This window comes from Homo sapiens, chromosome 19 (genome assembly GCF_000001405.40).
Source record: "Homo sapiens chromosome 19, GRCh38.p14 Primary Assembly".
NCBI classification, from domain to species: Eukaryota; Metazoa; Chordata; class Mammalia; order Primates; family Hominidae; genus Homo; species Homo sapiens.
Genome location: NC_000019.10, coordinates 34,220,625 through 34,239,166, shown reverse-complemented (window position 1 = coordinate 34,239,166; position 18,542 = coordinate 34,220,625). Strand labels below are relative to the sequence as shown.

The 18,542-nt window shown below is 43.4% G+C and overlaps 1 protein-coding gene across 30 annotated transcripts in view, besides 3 other annotated features; it reads right to left on the bottom strand.

The window, feature by feature from the left end:
* Positions 727-1,299: an enhancer, noted in NCBI's record as "NANOG-H3K27ac hESC enhancer chr19:34728773-34729345 (GRCh37/hg19 assembly coordinates)". NCBI's record gives its function as "activates a minimal SCP1, AML or CMV promoter by ChIP-STARR-seq in primed H9 embryonic stem cells {active_cell/tissue: H9 hESC(primed)}" and the evidence as "EXISTENCE:reporter gene assay evidence [ECO:0000049][PMID:30033119]".
* Positions 2,936-3,136: a silencer, noted in NCBI's record as "peak3441 fragment used in MPRA reporter construct". NCBI's record gives its function as "represses an SCP1 promoter by STARR-seq MPRAs in K562 erythroleukemia cells {active_cell/tissue: K562}" and the evidence as "EXISTENCE:reporter gene assay evidence [ECO:0000049][PMID:32103011]".
* The window catches only part of LSM14A (LSM14A mRNA processing body assembly factor), a 56,785-nt gene continuing 48,121 nt past the window's right edge, over positions 9,879-18,542 (bottom strand). For 12 of the 30 annotated variants that reach the window (NR_169262.1, NR_169265.1, NM_001384434.1 and 9 more), the window contains 2 exons: positions 17,429-17,660; positions 9,879-11,802 (listed from right to left, as the gene is read on the bottom strand). Coding sequence is in view for 24 of the 30 variants with exons in the window: in NM_001384434.1 (NP_001371363.1) it covers positions 11,779-11,802; positions 17,429-17,660 (256 nt within the window). In the remaining 6 variants the exon portion in view is untranslated. Of the gene's footprint in view, positions 11,803-12,702; positions 17,681-18,542 lie in introns of those variants that run through there. The other 18 variants (NR_169261.1, NR_169264.1, NR_169263.1 and 15 more) reach the window with 4 other exon arrangements.
* Positions 13,828-14,393: an enhancer, noted in NCBI's record as "OCT4-NANOG-H3K27ac hESC enhancer chr19:34715679-34716244 (GRCh37/hg19 assembly coordinates)". NCBI's record gives its function as "activates a minimal SCP1, AML or CMV promoter by ChIP-STARR-seq in naive H9 embryonic stem cells {active_cell/tissue: H9 hESC(naive)}" and the evidence as "EXISTENCE:reporter gene assay evidence [ECO:0000049][PMID:30033119]".

Sequence of the window (18,542 nt, the reverse complement as noted above, 5' to 3'; positions counted from 1 at the left end):
TATTTGTTATTTATCTTTTTCAATTTTTTTTCTTTTTTATTAGACACCAAGATCTCACTATGTTTCCCAGGCTGGTCTCGAACTCCTGGGCTCAAACGATCTGCCTGCCTCAGCATCCCAATGTACTGGGATTATTGGTATCATCCACCATGCCTGGCCTGTTTGGATCTTAGCAGAATGGTGGAAGGTTATGGAAGAACAGTCTGTATGAAAAAAAGGAGATTTTGTAGACTGAATTATAGTATGGGTGAGGAGTTGGAAAAACTTGAGAATATGATAAAGGCAACAAATACCAGCAAGAACAAACATTCAGAAACTCCAGGAAAACCCAAAAGCTGTACAGAAAATAACTGTCCAAAGAAGAAATGGTCTGAATTAAACTAGAAAGTTGGTGAGTACAAGGAGAGTGGAATAGATTCCAAGTAACAGAGAACATCCAAGAGCCAATCAGAAACTCCAGGGGAAAAAATTGTAAACAAACAAAAACAAAACCAAGATAATACATACAGCTGGGTGCTAATTTCAGCACTTTGGGAGGTTGAGGCAGGCAGATCACTTGAGCCCAGGAATTCGAGACTAGCCTGGGCAACATGGCAAAACTATGTCTCTACAAAAAATTAAAAAATTAGCCAGTTGTGGTGGCACACCTGTAGTCCCAGCTACTCTGGAGGCTGAGATGGGAGGATCGCCTGGGCCCAGGAGGCTGAAACGAGCTGTGTTCGCACCACTGCATTCCAGCCTGAGTGACAGAGTGAGACCCTGTCTCAAAACAAAAATGCTCACTGGAGATTGTTGGTGATCTTACCAAGAACTGTTTCAGTGGAATAGGTCAAGTGGCTTGAGAAGTGAAGTCTCCCTTCACTTCAGGAATCCTGACAGTTAAACAGGAGTGGGAGGTATAGGATCCCCAGAATAATCTCCTTTCTCTTTTTTGGTTAGAGACTGGGTCTCACTATGTTGCCCCGGCTGATCTCGAACTCGTGGGCTCAAGTGATTTACCTGCCTCGGCAATCATAGCTAGCTCACTGCAGCCTCAGTCTCTGGGGTTGAAGTGATCCTCCCACCTCAACCTCCCAAGAAGCTGGGACTACAGGTATGTGCCAGCAAGCCCAGTTAATTTTTAAATTTTTTGTACAGATGAGGTCTTGCTATGTTGCCCAGGCTGGTCTCCAACTCCTGGCCTCAAGCAATCCAATCCTACCACCTCAGCCTCCTGAAGTGTTGGGATTACAGGCATGGGCCACTGCACCCAGCCCCTACCTCCTTTTAATAGGGCCTGGGATGCAGATGAGGCTGGTTTAGAGTGTGGTAAGCGTCTGAAACTGTTTTCATCCAACAGCCACCAGCTGTCTTTGAAATAGATGGTAAGACCACTTGCTGACTGCAGAGAGATGATTACAGAAATATACTGGTTTTGATGCAAAGTTAAGGGCACAGTGATTACAGAAATACACCTGGTTGAGGTATATATATACAAAGAAATATACCTGGTTGAGGTATAAATATACAAAGTTGAGGGCCAAGGTTGAGGGTAGTAATCAGCATTATTTACAGTGGCATTGATTTGCTCAACTGTGATTCTTGTCCTCAGGACTCAACCCCCTGGGTGAAGACATTGACAATGTGGATGAATGGATGCTTTTAGGGTTGAAGTTTCTCTAGGCAGGAGCTTCTCAAAAGAGAAGCAAAGGAGTTTAGGGTATTTGCAAGATAAATGAAGAGTGAGTCATGGAGTTTAGGATGGTTGGAGATGGCGGTGGAGAAAGCACGGGGGAACTAATGAAGCCGGAGAAAGTATAAAGATTCTGGACCTGGAGTTCTGCACCAGGCTAAAAACAGTTACTAAGGAAGGGAATGGGTTAGGTCACTGCTTTTTAATTTTTATTTATTTATTTATTTATTTATTTTTTGAGAGAGAGAGTCTCACTCTGTTGCCAGGCTGGAGTGCAGTGGCGTGATCTCAGCTCACTGCAACATCTGCCTCCGGGGTTCAAGCGATTCTCCTGCCTCAGCCTCCCCAGTAGCTGGGATTACAGGCATGTGCCACCATGCCCAGCTAATTTTTGTATTTTTAGTAGAGACAGAGGTTTCACCATGTTGGCCAGGATGGTCTCGATCTCCTGACCTCGTGATCTGCCCGCCTTGGCCTCCCAAATTGCTGAGATGACGGGCGTGAGCCACCGCGCCTGGCCTGAATTTTTTTATGTTTTTTTTTTTTTTTTTTTAGCTATTTCTTCAGCAAGACAGCTGGAAGGTCAAAGGGCGGGGTGTCTAAGTCTGTGATTTGGAGGTGGTTGCAGTTGAGGTTGATGGACAAGGTCCAGGTGTGTCTACAGCTTTGGGTAGGAGGGGACAACAGGAAAATGTCACAGGACAAGGACGGAAGCCAGGGTGTGGGCGAGTGTGCAGAGGAGTTAACGAAGCAGGTTTGACTGCTGTCATTTACAAGGCCTGCTTGTAAGTTTGGCTCTCGCCTGACATCTGGATTTCAGGAGGGTTCCCGCCATTCCCAGAACTGGTAGGAGTGGTGCACTGTATCCAGACTGTTGTAAACAATGTGGTTTGCTTGTGCTTTACTTCTGGGAGCCTGGAATTTTGGCACGTGCCACGCAGAGGGTGTCTGCATAATCAGCCCCCAGTAAAAACCCTGGGCAACTAAGTCTGAAGCTTCCCTGGCAGACAATATCCCACGCATGTTGTTGCAACTCCCTGCTGGAGAAGCTAAGCACATCCCGTGAGGCTCCGCTTTCTAAGTCCCCGTTGCAAGTTTGAGCCTGGTTTCCTCCAGACTTTGCCCACACATCTTTTCCCTTTGTGAATTTTGCTTTGTATCCTGTCACTGTATCCTGTCACTGTACACTGTCATAGCCATGCGTGCGATTACCCTGGGGACCCCCAGTACAGATGGGTAGATCACACAACAGCTGAAGTCACTTTGAATAAGACAGAAGGGGAGAGGAAGAGGAAGATGAGTATCAGACTTCTCACGATATGATGGGCAGAGATCAGGTCATTAAATGGTCATCACCAGGAGAGTGAGAGGATCACATAACCTCACTGGGGTAGGAGTTTTTATCAGCAGGGAAGCAAGGAGACCGCATCCACATCCTGAACACAGTTTTGTAGGGCAAGAAATATTCCACTGCTGCCAGTGAGTAAGGGCAATGGGGGAGCACTGTCCTTAGGGGACTGAGGCTAGGCACACGGAGGATTGACTCTGGATCTGCTCTAATATATACCATTATCTACATCTATGTCTACTGTACATCAGGGTTGTATGGTACTTTATGGTTAGTGACAAGCAGAGCACTACCATATGGTTCACCATGCTCCAAGTCCTCAAGAGGGCTAGGTCAGCATTCCTCTCACCCACTCTAGTTCTGGCTTCTCTCCCGAAGGAAAAAACAGTACCAGCATTATTTTAATAGCCAGAAGCTAGAAACCACCCAAATGCGGCATCAACAGTAGAAAGAAGCAACTGTGGTCTATTAACACAATGGAATATTATACTGCAATGAAAATGAACAGTCCATGGCCAAATGCAACAAGAGAGATGAATCCCAAACACAATGCTGAGTAGAGAGGCCAAACACAAGAGTATATACTGTGTAATTCCATTTATATAAAAACACCAAAGGTAATCTATGGTGTCAGAAGTCAGGACTGTAGTTAGCCTTGAAGGGATGGGGACTACTGGAAGGGAGCTTGGTGGGTTTCTGGGGTACTGTTAATAATCTGATTTATAATCTGGGTGCCGGTTACATAGGTAATTATGATGTGTACTTTTCTTTTTTTCTTTTGGAGACAGGGTCTTGCTCTGTTGCCCAGGTTGGAGTGCAGTGGTGTGGTCATGGCTTACTGCAACCTCAACCTCCTGGGCTCAAGTGATCCTCCCGCTTCAGCCTCCCAAGTAGTTGGGACTACAGGCACGCGCCACCACGCCCAGCTAATTTTTAAAAAATTACTTGGATAGGCCGGGTGCGGTGGCTCACGCCTGTAATCCCAGCACTTTGGGAGGCCGAGGCGGGCGGATCATGAGGTCAGGAGATCGAGACCATCCTGGCTAACACTGCGAAGCCCCGTCTCCACTAAAAATAAAAAAAATTAGCCGGGCGTGGTGGCGGGCACCTGTAGTCCCAGCTGCCGGGAGGCTGAGGCAGGAGAATGGCGTGAACCTGGGAGGCAGAGCTTGCAGTGAGCCGAGATCGTGCCACTGCACTCCAGCCTGGGCGACAGAGCGAGACTCTGGCTCCAAATAAATAAATAAATAAATAAATAAATAAATAAATAAATAAATAAATAACTTGTAGAAACAAGGTCTCCCTATGTTGCTCAGGCAATGCCAGTCATTGGTCTTTAGTGAGGACCTGTTTGAAGCAGCTCATTTCTTTTTTTTTTTTTTTTGAGATGGAGTTTCACTCTTGTTGCCCAGGCTGGAGTGCAATGGAGTGACCTCGGCTCACCGCAACCTCCACCTCTCAGGTTCAAGTGATTCTCCTGCCTCAGCCTCCTGAGTAGCTGGGATAACAGGCATGCACCACCACACCCAGCTAATTTTGTATGATTAGTAGAGATGGAGTTTCTCCATGTTGGTCAGGCTGGTCTCGAACTCCCGACCTCAGGTGATCCGCCCTCCTCAGCCTCCAAAAGTGCTGGGATTACAGGTGTGAGCCACCGTGCCGGGCTGAAGCAGCTCATATCCTATAACCACATGACACTTTCATAATAAAAATGTTTCAAAAGACACAGCCAATGACCCTTGGCAGCAGATCAAGGCCTTCAGATTTTCCCATTTAGAAATGTGGATTTTTTTTTTTTTTTTTTTTTTTTTTAGACTCTGTCACCCAGGCTGTAGTGCAGTGGTGTGGTCATGGCTTACTGCAACTTCAACCTCCTGGGCTCAAGCAATCCTCCTGCTTTGGCCTCCCAAAGTGCTGGGATTACAGGCATGAGCCACTGTGCCCATCTACTTTTCTTTTTTTCTTTTTGAGATGGAGTTTTGCTCTTGTCACCCAGGCTGAAGTGCAATGGCGCGATCTTGGCTCACTGCAACCTCTGCCTCCTGGGTTCAAGAAATTCTCCTGCCTCAGCCTCCCAAGTAGCTGGGATTACAGGAACCCGCCACCATGCCTAGCTAATAATTTTTGCATTTAGCAGAGATGGGGTTTCATCAAGTTGGCCAGGCTGGTCTGGAACTCCTGACCTCAAGTGATCTGCCTGCCTCAGCTTCCCAAAGTGCTGGGATTACAGGCTGAGCCACTGCGCCCGGCCAAATCCATTTTTGCTGAAGAGCATATGCCTGTACAGGATAATGCCAGACAGAATATACACCCAAATAGTGTCAACATGGTCAGCTGTGGGTGGTGGGATTAGAGAATTTTTTCTTCTCTTTCCTTTAAAAAACAAACATAATCTACACTGCCTGCATTCTTTGTTTCTTTTTAAAAATACCACCCAATCAGAGAAGAGGCCTGCATTCTTTTTACATGTATTACTTTTATAATGAAAATATATACCCAGTTCTGTGTTATAAATTGCAGTCTGCAATGTTCCACATATCCACTGAGTCAAAGAAACGCTATTAAGTACTGGGAATCCAGCAAGGGAGAACTGTCACCCAGCTAACCCCAAAAGAGAACATTGACAAAATGCTTTCAGTAGAAGCAAAATCCTGAATTGCAATGTTGGGATTTGCATTCTCATCAACAATCCTGCGTGAGGCCAGCATCCCAGGATTATCTGGATTAGTGTGTATGAGGATTATAGAGGTGCACTCCAGACACCTAGTAAACATGTTCCTGTCCTCTGTCCTGGAATGACTGTACACTGTTTACTGGAATTCAGTACAATCTCACCTGGGCCCAGGCCTCTCACACCCCCTTTAAGGTTGGCGATCTTCCCTAACCCTTCAGCCTGGAGGGAAAGGCTGGACCTTCTGGGCCCTGCCGTTCCTTGCTGTCTGCTCTCGGTTGTTTCTGTGCGACTCAACTCTGAGTGACTATGAGTCATTCTTTCTAAGAAAGCCTCACTATTGAACTGAAATATGCTTTGGCCTCACAGAGCTGCTTTGTTTCCTTACAACCACAACATGGGCATCAGTACATTTTAAAGCATTTCCTCAAAAAATCAACATTCATGACAAACTGGAATTATATTTAGGTCTATGTTGATATGTTCATGAGCTAAACCTGAAAACATTTTTATCAGTCAGCCAAGTTCATTAACTAGTGTACTGAGCTGGAATTTAAAGGACACCCTACCACTGGCTCACAGCTCTGCACCATCACCGAGAACAGAAACCACATCGGATTCAGAGTCCTACCTCGTGCTCTTGGAACCGGATTTACAGAATGTCTCAAACCACAAGCTTCCTTTTCTGGACACTGGCTCCGATAAATAGGATAAGAACCTTTGCACCGCTCCTTAGAGGGCTGGGATGGATCCCACAGGAGCAGTGCCTGGTCCCTGGACCACTAGCTTCCCAATGCACACATGCACTGTTGGCTGCTGGCTGGCTGGCTTCCAAGCCTCTGCTAGTCAAAGCTCTCTCTCCCACTTCCCTTCCTTGACCAATTTCTGTTTGGAGGACACTGCTTCCAAGAAGTTGTCTGTCTCCCCATCTTGGAGAAGCCAAGGCAGCCTGCTAAGCAAATCTCCTTTTAGCATCTTCAGATTGACAGATTAATGGTACTATGATACTTCCCTAAGTTTGATTTCAATTTTACTAATAATACGTGGTTTTTTTTTTTTTTTTTTTGAGATGGAGCTTCGCTCTTTTTGCCCAGGCTGGAGTGCAGTGGCACAATCTCAGCTCACTGCAACCTCCGCCTCCCAGGTTCAAGCAATTCTCCTGCCTCAGCCTCCCAAGTAGCTGGGATTACAGGTGCCCGCCACCACACCAGGCTAATTTTTTGTATTTTTAGTAGAGACGGGGTTTCACCATGTTGGTCAGGATGGTCTCGATCTCTTGACCTCGTGATCCACCCGCCTCAGCCTCCCAAAGTGCTGGGATTACAGGCGTGAGTCACCGCACCCAGCCTAATACTTGTTATCTTTTAAACAGAGTCAGAACAGGCCAGGCACAGTGGCTCACACCTGCAATCCCAGCACTTCAGGAGGCCGAGGCAGGTGGATCACCTGAGGTGAGGAGTTCGAGACCAGCCTGGCCAACATGGTGAAATCCCATCTCTACTAAAAATACAAAAATTAGCTGGGTGTGGGGGCACACGCCTGCAATCCCAGCTACTCGGGGGGCTGAGGGGAGAGAATCACTTGAACCTGGGAGGCAGAGGTTGCAGTGAGCTAAGATCGCGCCACTGCACTCCAGCTTGGGTGATAGAGTGAGACTCCGTCTCAAAAAAACCCCAAAACCAGTCGGGACAGGTAAACTAAAGCAAATTGGTGACACCTGCACTCCTACAGGAAGAGACCATTCACCTGGATTACTTTATACCATGACACTCTCCCCACCTTTACTATGTAAAACAGCTTAATCTCTGAACTAACAGGGCAGGGGGATCCTGCAACACACTGAATCCAGATGTGATTGGATGGCCTAAGTAACCCTTCTCAGGAAAAGAAGTTGCTTCTCAGCCATGCTGTGGACAGAGGGGCCCTGCAGAAGGAGCGGCTTCTCTGATGGGCAGAGAACCCACAGAGGCAGGGACAACTGGCATGCAAAATTAAGAGACAGAAGGAACACAAACCCTATGCCAGGAATAAAAACGAAATAAAACTCAGTACTCAAAGCACCCAAACTCTGGAGGAAACTCGAGTCTCAACCTCCCCATTTCCCCTGATTCCATCCTGCAAAACTGTTCCCTCCTTTCCACTTAGTCCCATCCCTCTCTTCATGCCCCAGTCACAATCTGGATATACTGGGTTTGGAAGGATGGGAAAAATGCTAAGATAATCCTACTGTGGAAAATATATCAACACCCCCAAAGCAGGAACCAGCTTTGGTGTTGTACAGTCATCTTCCCAAACCTAGCTAATCACAACTACCTGTGGGATCAGTAAGATTCCTAGGACCTACTAGAGAAGGGGTCCCTGATCCCTGGGCAGCAGAACGGTCGTGGTCCGTGGTCTGTTAGGAACCAGCCTGCACAGCGGGTGAGAGGCGGGCTGATGAGTGAGCATTACCATCCGAGCTCCACCTCCTGTCACATCAGCAGCAGCATTAGATTCTCATAGGGTTGGAAACCCTATCGTGAGCTCTGCATGCAAGGGACCTCGGTTGCGCACTCACTGATCATGCCCGATGATCTGTCACTGTCTCCCATCACCCCCAGATGGGACCATCTAGTTGCAGGAAAACAAGCTCAGGCCTCCCATTGATTCTACATGATGGTGAATTGTGTAATTATTTCATTATATATTACAATGTAATAATAGAAATAAAGTGCACAATAAATATACTTGAATCACCCCAAAACCATACCCCCTGCTCATCTGTGGAAAAACTGTCTTTGGTGAAACCAGTCCCTGGTGCCAAAAAGGTTGGGTTCTGCTGTACTAGGGAACTTCAGAATCACTCTCTGGGCCTGGGAATCTGTACTTAAAAATGCTCCTTGGTAGATTCTGATCAGAGATTTGTGAAGCACTGACAGAGAACAGGATGAAGCCCTAACTCCTATGTGGTAATGTTTCCACAATGCTGATGTGCTACAGGAAGTAAGTTCCCTTTATTATTAATATTCCCAAGCGGACAATTTCCTAAGTAGTAAATTTTTTTTTTCAAGTTGGCAGGAAATAATTTCCCACTTACTGTCTTTCCATGTGGAGGGACTTTAGCCAGTGTTTCTCAGAGTAGAGGAGCACTACTGCACTTTGGGTTGGACAACTGATTGTGTGGCACAGCACAGGACATTTACCATCCGGGCCCTTACTTTTAAATACCAGTGGTGATCCCCAGTGATTGTGACAACCAAAACACATCCCCTCACATTCCTCAGTACTCACGCACCACTTAATGATGTTTTGGTCAACGATGGACTGGGTATACAATGGTGGTCCCAAAGATTATGATACCGTATTTTTACTATACTTTTTCTGTTTAGATATGTTTTAAATACAGAAATACCACTGTGTTATGACTGCCTACAGTATTCAGTACAGTAACATGCTGTACAGGTTTGTAGCGAGGAGCAACAGGCTACACCATATAGCTTAGGTGTGGAGTAGGCCATACCATCTTCATTTGTGTAGTACACTCTCTGATGTTCACACAATGATGACATTGCTTAACACATTTCTCAGAATGTGTCATGGCCGGGCCTGGTGGCTCATGTCTGTAATCTAGCACTTTGGGAGGCCAAGATGGGAGGATCATTTGAGCCCAGGAGTTAGAGACCAGCCTGGGCAACGAAGTGAGACCTCATTGCTATTTAAAAATAAGAACATGTCGCTATTATTAAGCAACAGATGACTGTGTTCCTAGGATGTCAGGTAACCCCACCGAGAGCCACTGTGCTGCACTGCTGTTCCCGACCTCTTGCCCTACCATCACATGAAGCCCAGCTTTTGGAGCGAACTGTTTTAATAGACAGATTCTGCATCTTCTTCATGCGTCTGCCCACAGGGAGTGTGTTCTGGCTGCTGTTTCCAGCCTGGCCTGTGCCTGGGTGGCTCAATCTCCTCATGTCACGGATCTGATCTCAGAAGTATTTTATTTACACACAGGAGGGGAAGGAAGGGGCTTTTAGCTTTCCCTAAACATCTGCAACAATAACTCAATCTTAGAAATAAAGTAACTGATTTATAGTTATTACAGGGAATACAAACATTATAATTCCGCTCTTCCATTTAAAAGATTCCTTTCATTATGTTCCTACTGAAACAGAATGTTACTATTTAAAGAGAAAGAACTTTGACGAGCATTTTTTATTGAACAGTTTTATTCTGTTTTAGAATAAAAACTTTGCTTTAATATTGTAAGGGGTACTGCAGGTATGCCATGCTGCCAGTTATTGCTGGGGCACAAAACGCCCCAGTCAGTGATTCGGAGGGCTGGGAAAACGCATAAACTCATAATTTCAGAGCAAGTAGAACTAGTATTTACAGTTTTCTTTCTTGAAATTGGCCCGGGACATCTCCAACAGTCTACACATGTATTGCCATGGTACTTGCTCTGATGCTCTGAATGCCTCGGAACTGTGTTCAATATCATGATTTGTGGGTCCTCTAAAAGGTTTTGTTGTTAACATGCAAGCAAACAGCACTGAACAATATTGTCTAAACTATGGCTGCCAAGTACTGGATCTTCATAATGAAACCAAATTACAAAACACTGCCTTGTAGAGCTATACAAAAGATATAAAATGAAAATAAAAAATGTCAACCAGCCTTAAATATTCCAATTCTCCTACAGTGCAGTTTCTATATCTTTATCACTACTGAATGTTTTAAGGAGAAAGTTAAGAAAACAATCAAAATATTAGATAAAAATATTTAAATCTTTGGATCCTTTTATTCCATGGCCTTCATAAAAACACAAAAGTGGCCAGATTTTTCCCACTAGAGCTTAAAATATCAAAAAGATTCACTAGTAATTTATAATTAGCAATGAACTCTATACTGAGTCATCTGTGGGTCATCATAGGCCCAAGGACCAGTGTTGCCGTGTGTTACAGGCTACCAAAATAATTTCTAGCACTCTGAATCCTCTTGAAATATGATGGAATGAGTCAAGGTATCATGACTAAATTCCAGGCATAATAGGAAAAACAGGTTCATTGATGCCTAGTTTTAAAGTCCTACAAAAGGGGGGAAGATTACTTATTTGAAAATACAGCTAAGTACATTCTCATCTGTGATTATTTACATTTGTATACTGAAAATATCGATTATCTGGACAGATCCTGTGATATGCCATTTGCTACAAAATGAAGTTCTTACAATGAGCATGAATAATTAATCCTTTTTAGATAATGAAATAATGTATCAAATCTTCATTTATGTTCCAAACATTAAAAAACAAAATCAAAAATGTTAAGCCTGGAAAACTAAGAAAAAAAGACCCACCCATAAGGCTGCTGCTCAGCACATCAACTTCTGCAAGGACACAGTATGTTTGCTGACTTTAAAATGTTTATTCTTTAAAAAATTAGTTGCTTTTTATACAGCTATACAAAGTTCTTAATGTTTCTTTGGCAATGGAATATAATGGAATTTTACAACTATATAAAAAAGTTACCTTTGCCTAAGAAACAGTATTTACTGTGTGTACATAGTTGACTGACAAAATTCTCTACCATCCAGCACCCTAATTAATTGACGAAATAAGCTACCTCATATTACAGGATTCCCCAAAAGAAAGGAGGAAAAAGACACACACATACACACACACACACACACACACACACACACACACACACAACCTTCTGTGGCTCAAAACACAGTATCACGGCCCTATCTGCAGGCAACTTGCAATTGCCAAATACAATTTAGTGATAAAAAAAAAAAACCTTTCAGTGATGAAAAAATACTTGTTAAGTCCCACTGAAGTACTGCTTTAGTTTAACTATACATAAGAAATTACTTAACCTTCTGCTATTCCAAATATATTTAATGCTCATGTTTTAAGATGAGCCTTCCACCCCCAAAAGTAACTGCATTTTATCTTTGAAATTAAGCGGAAAAACAAACAAAAAACAAAAACCCAGTGCTGGTGACAAATGTACAGCGAATTCACTTCTTCATTCTTTGCAAAGACTGAAATCAATGTTCAGGACCATGAAGAGCTAGAAATTCACCTATTTTCAGAGACTTGTTTGTAGACTATGCAGCAACTTTGTTGTCTTTCTAAAAAAGAAAAAAAAATTTAGCTCATGTTCCAAATTATTGGTGTATTATTTTCTTTTTACTTTGCTCAAGTTTATTTTAAATTATCTTTAAATATACTCCCCCACTTTTACTTTCATAGAAAAACCTGTCTCACTCATTTCCACGAAACTCCTTCTATAACTTCCATACTCAGTAGTACCTCATTGTTGACTGCATCTTCCAGTCAGTAGAGGTTAATGCAGTGGTGAACCCCACCCCAAAATACAGGCATACTTCCTCATCTTTGGTTGTTCTCCCTAATAATTTTTTAAAAGCAGTGATAGGACTTAAACCCTCAACTCAATAGTCAAACTCATCAAATACAACTGTCAACATACTTTGAAACAAGTTTCATAAAATCCCCAAGTCTTTGATGTCTTTACTAAGCAATAAAATACCCAGTCAGTATAACATTTCTCTCCAAAATTTCATGCCAGGAGGAAGCAATGGTTTAAAAATCAATTTTACAAGGATAACTCTTAAATCTGAAATAAGCTCTGAAAAGTAGAAAGCTGACTGGGGAATTTTTAAAAAGTAACCAGTGAGGAAGCAATAAAAATCTCAAGATTTCCAGAGAGACTGACCCTAAACTAAAGGCCTGTACAAAGGGCTGGAGCCAAGGGCTTTTATTTTCCTCTAGACCAGCTGCTACCATATACCTGGTTTTTACTGCTGATTCTCACCCCAACTGTTAGAAACAGACATTTCCTAGGTGAGACTTAACTTCATCTGTGTATACAACACCAAAACATTTGCACCCCGTTATTAAACTGAAATACATATGGTATGGCATAAGTTGACAGCAATGAGCTACAAGATGAACCTGCTGTCCCCCACAAAGCCAACCTTCACACCTCCCAAAGTATTTGTTTTTTTTACCTTTCAGAAAGCAGTACGATCAATCCAGACCTTTTAGGGTCCAAAAGCTGTGGTTTTCTGAAAGGTAAAAAAAAAAAAAAAAAAAAAAAGAGAAAGAGATGGGGACAGGAGAGGGAGAAAGGAGAAAATGAAAGGGGGAGAGGAGAGAGAGCATTATGCTGAGTCATTCAGACACCTTGTTGTCTTTGAACCCCATCTGAGGAAACACAGATGTGATTTTTATCACCCACCATGGTGGCTTAACCTCCCTGACAGCAGCATATAAAACAGGAGCTGGTTACATTATTATTGCTAGTCCTGATTTCCATTCTCACCTCAAAAAAGAATGGGCGGTGGGAGGGGGAAAACACCATACAACCAAACTTACCATAAGGTTATATTTCTTTCTTTTCTTTTTTTTTTTTGAGACAGGCCTCGCTCTGTCACCCAGGCTGGAGTGCAGTGGTGCGATCATGGCTCACTGCAGCCTTGACCTCCCAGGTTCAACTGATCCTCCTGCCTTAGCCTCCTGAGTAGCTGGGACTACAGGCATGTGCCACCACTCCAGCTAATTTTTAAACTTTTTTATAGAGATAGGGACTCCTTATGTTGCCCATGCTGTCCTTGAATTCCTGGGCTTAAGCAATCCTGCCCTGGCCTCCCAAAATGCTGGTATTACATGTGTACACCATTGCACTGGCCTATATTTACAATATTACCCTTAAGGAAAATCAGGCCACAAGTCAAGAGAGTGAGTTTTGGATTTGTTAGCTTGTACCTCAATCATGACAATTAACTTCTTGGGGTCCTTAGTTTCCTTATCATCTAATGTGAGTGTGGTAGCGTAGAGATTCTAGTTTGGCTGATTCTTTTAAGGATTCTAAAACTTTATGATTTTATCTTTACCCATGTTTTCATTAAACAACCAAGCTCATTTATGCTTACCCCCAAACCACAATGACTCATGCTAATATAGCACAAAAAATAAAGCCAACTCATTTCATGAAGGCTGCAGAAATGTCATCCATGTCCATCTCTGGGAGGAAGTGTTAGATGTTTCAGATACAAGTTTAATCTTCAGTGGTAAATCTCCTTTATGTGACAGTGATCACTCACCATTTTCTACCTTTAAAGGTGCCAGGTGAAATGATTTTATGATTTAGGAGGTGTAGGGCTGCTGGGTTCGGGGCTCTAGTGGCAGATGAAAGGATTATTCAACTCTGGAATGAACAATCAAAGGCTAGCTACATTGACAGACCTTTGGTCTCACTGAAGGCTGGAGTGGCAAATTCCTAATCAACATGACAAGCAATTACTTCAAGCCCACTATGGCTCCATGTTGAGCTGAGTGTTGTCATGGAAAGAAAAGTAGAATACATATTCACTAAAGCCAAGAGGTTCTCATCTAGCTGGTGATGCAGAACAAAACTAAATACAAAAAATAGGGAATGTCAGTGTATTTAAAATGTGTGCCAAAGAAAGCAGATAGCCACAGGTCAGAAGAGGAGGAAATCAGTGTAGGAAGGAAGAGAAGACAGAGCAAAACTTGGGCAAGGCTGTAAAGGATAAGTGAAAGGGGGGACCTGACTTTTAGCTATGTCTGTCTCCCACCAAAATGTAAACATCAAAAGGGCTGGGCCTACATCGGTCAGCACCAATGCTCAACATAGTGCCTGGCATATCTGAAGAATTCTGTATATTTGGTAAATGAATGGGGATGGAGTTGGAATCAAGCACAATGTGTATGTGAGATAACCATGAGGCAGCTTGCTTGAATCAGATAGGTTAAAGGGTAATGAGGAATGAGGCCAAATATATCAAGTGGGATCCTCACACAATTAAGAAGAGCAGGGACTACAATGTCACAACTGAGCCTCCTAAACACTGGGCCATGCCTGAGGGTTCGCTGAGTCCATCACTCCTGGCAACACCTAAGCAGAGGCTGGACTATCTGTCAAGGATACAGGAGCGTAGACAAAGATGCATGGAGGTAACTATGACAATGCATTTTCAATTCTGCAATATATGTGATACGAGTTTTACAAAAGGCTCAAAATGATAAACAGTGTGACATGGTGTCAAAAAAATGTTTGTATTAGTAACCACATGGAGCACACACAGTTACTGCATGGAAGGTTTGTTTTTTCCTTTTTTTGAGACGGAGTCTTGCTCTGTCGCCCAGGCTGGAGTACAGTGGCGTGATCTCGGCTCACTGCAACCTCTGCCTCCCAGGTTCAATGATTCTCCTGCCTCAGCCTCCCGAGTAGCTGGGATTACAGGTGTGTGCCACCACGCCCGGCTAATTTTTTTTATGTTTTTGGTAGAGACGGGGTTTCACCATGTTAGCCAGGCTGGTCTCGAACTCCTGACCTCAGGTGATCCGCCCACCTCAGCCTCCCAAAGTGCTGGGATTATAGGTGTGAGCCACCACGCCCAGCTGAGATTGTAACAGTTAGAACATCCCTGGGGTGGGATGGATGCCCTTGGGAAGAGTAAGCTCCCAGCCCCTATAAGAGATACTGCAGAAGAGGTTTATGTTTTAACCAGGTCAGACCTCTCAGATGTTTTCCAACTCTGAAAGTTTAATGATCTTTAAAAGGTGTTATTTCAGAATAAATGGTGCAACTCTTTATTCACAAATGTCAAAACCAAGGGTCTGAAAGGTCATACTAGTAACTACTGCTATTATTCTCATCTGGATCCAAGTCTAATTTAAATGTACTTTTTCTCAGACCAAGCTGACTCAATGTGGTCTTCAACAAGGAGTTGTCACAGGTTGTTCAAAATGTAGCTGATCTGCCTTAAAGTGGGGTAAAGAGAGACGAAGGTCTGAAGCCCAACTGGTGGGTTACCATGGTAGTTGACAGGGACATCTCAAAGGAATAAATGGCAACAGGCCACAATCATGGATACCTCTAGTGCCTGGGCAGTATACCATGAGCCAACATGGAACACTGGGAGGAGGCAGAGCTGAGATGACAGGAGAGAAGGAAGATGATGAGATCAGTCTGAGGAAGGTTAAGCTGACAGCAAACAGTGCAGATAGAGATGCGGTGCAGAAACACATAGGGTCCAGGACAGGCTTACAAAAGGGAGGATGGAACAAGCACCATGGCACACCTATAAACCCAGCACTTTGGGAAGCTGAGGTGAGAGGATCGCTTAAGCCCAGGAGTTCAAGACCAGCCTGGACAACATAGTGAGAGTGGGACCCAGTGTCTACAAAAAAAATTAAAAATTAGCTGGGCATGGTGGTGCATGCCTGTAGTCCCAGCTACATAGGAGGCTGAGGTGGGAGGACTGCCTGAGCCTGGGAGGTTGAGGCTGCAGTGACTTATGATCATGCCATTGCACTCCAGTCTGGGTGACACAGCAAGACCCTGACACCCTCCACCCCCCAAAAAAAAGAATGAAGAGTATTAAAAAATTAGGAAGAGTATAAATTGAAAACCTAGAAGAGTATTTTAAAGACTAGGAAGAAAGACCCCAAATTGGGTGGTTGGTCAGTGTCAAATATTGCAGAGGAGTTAATGGCAAATAAAATATTTGTGAAAATACTACTGCTGAATTCTGTAAGCAAGGTGTCACTGGCAAACTTAAGGGCAGTAACAGTGATAAGCGAGGGCTATTCTGGAGTTCCTAAGACAGATTCTCCTAGCTGGGAAGGTGATTTTGCAAGTCAGAAGTCCCGCAACTACATAAGGCCACCAACGGCTGGATGGCATAAGCTGGTGACTTGAGTATAATTTTTGGCAGTCTTGGCTGTGATGGCACAATATCAAAAGCATTAAAATTAATAGAGCAGGTCCAAAAGCCACTAATACTGATCTCTTTCCAGAGAGATCTCAACAATGGCCAGTTTTAAGTACTGGGCAATGGAACTCCTGCTAACAGGTCTTTCTGTTTCCAGCTGCCTGTTGCTATTACAAGTGGAACTCTTTACAAGATTTTGGTCCTTTCTGTTATAGCCCTTCCTCTCCACTACTTCTAAAATCAATAAACTAAGATAGTTTACTGTTAACTGAGATAGTTACTATGCTGACTTAATTTACAGACACCTGTCAAAAGCTACATTATACACATAAGGCTACTATACAGAGTTACAGAATTCTCTAGCAGTAGCTCCTGAAGGCCAATATATCGAAACATTTTCAATTTCATGGTGAAAGGAGAAAACCAGGGAAAATGTAGTGAATTTTCAACAAAACCAAATTAAGAGTACTGACTCAGGAAACAACTTGCTGGGCTCAACACCCAGCACCATCACTTACTAGCTATGTGACCTTTCGCAAGTTACTTAATATCTCTATACCCATTTCCTCACTTGTAAAATGGGGATAATAATAGAACCTACCTCACAGAGTTGATGTGCAGTTTAAATAAGTTAATATGTAAAAAAATATTTAAAACAATGTCTTGTTACTTGGTAAATACTATATAAATGTTAACTGCTATTAAATGTTAAAGCTTGCCCTTCCATTCTGGGAGTATGTGCTTCCTAGATAGACTCTTTGGGTGTTAAAAGTATATTCTGTTAACATGAAATAAAGGTGATACTATACTGTCTTTTTTTGTATAATGTCTTTATATATACATCTGAATCACGTATATCCTCTACTGAAAAGTCAAAATGGAAGTTATTCTAATGTCCTCAAAACAATTCACCCAAAACAAAAACAAGTAAAAATGTTTTGAGTCTTGTAAAATGCATGTCAACCCCAAAGAATTTATTAACAGTAACACTTACCCTATATTCAAAATCCGCAAACTCCCGGCCCCCACGACCTCCTCTGAATCCACCGCGAAATCCTCGAGGGGCAGTGAAGGTACCACCTCTGCCACCACCACGCCCTCTGCCACCACGGAAACCAAGACCTCCTCTGCCTCTGTATCCCCCACGGCCACGGTTTGGACGAAGTGGGATTCCAAATGTTTCAGCATTTAATCTTCTTTCTTCAGCCCAGGTTGGTCTCCGTTCTCTATTATAAAAGCAAATAATCTTCAGCATATCAGGTTTAAAAGAATATCCCTCAGCCAAAATATGCAGTGCTACTCCCAAATTAAGCCTAAGTAATTACTAAAGCTAATTAGAAATAAGCATCTTGGCTAGGCGTGATGGCTCACGCCTGTAATCCCAGCACTTTGGGAGGCCGAGGGGGCGGATCGCCTGAAGTCAGGAGTTCGAGACTAGCCTGGCCAAAATGGTGAAACTCATTCTCTACCAAAAATACAAAAAATAGCTGGGCATGGTGGCAGGTGCCTGTAATCCCAGCTACTTGGGGGGTTGAGGCAGGAGAATCACCTGAACCTGGGAGGTGGAGGTTGCAGTGAGTCGAGATCGAGCCACTGCACTACAGTCTGGGTGACAAGAGCGAAACTCCATCTCAAAAAAAAAAAAAAAAAAGCATCTTATCTAAGTTATCACGAGTTGTTCATGGCATATGAGTTCAATATGTTCCTGTAATATTCTGTTAAACTTCATGTGAACACATGACTGACATTAGTTTCTTGCAAATACACCTGATAAACATAGTAACAGCTCCAAAATAATGGAAATTCAGATATAATGAGATTGGTAATTGACTTCGCTTTCCACTCAGCCCCAAGGGAAAAGAAGGTAAAGTCAGACAGGGAGGCCTTGTCTTGGGAAGCTAGGAGATGGAAGGTGGGCCCTTAGGTCCCCATTATGTTCCTGGCCCAATCTATGGACCCGATACCAAGTAACCCAAGAAGTATCTGAATTATTGCTGCTGTCATCCAGCCAATCGTGGGACTCAGAATTATGTCCATCCATGTTTATATTGAAGCAAACAACTGCCACCAGAGGGCACCAAACTTCAGCCAGGAAAAGGACAAGGACA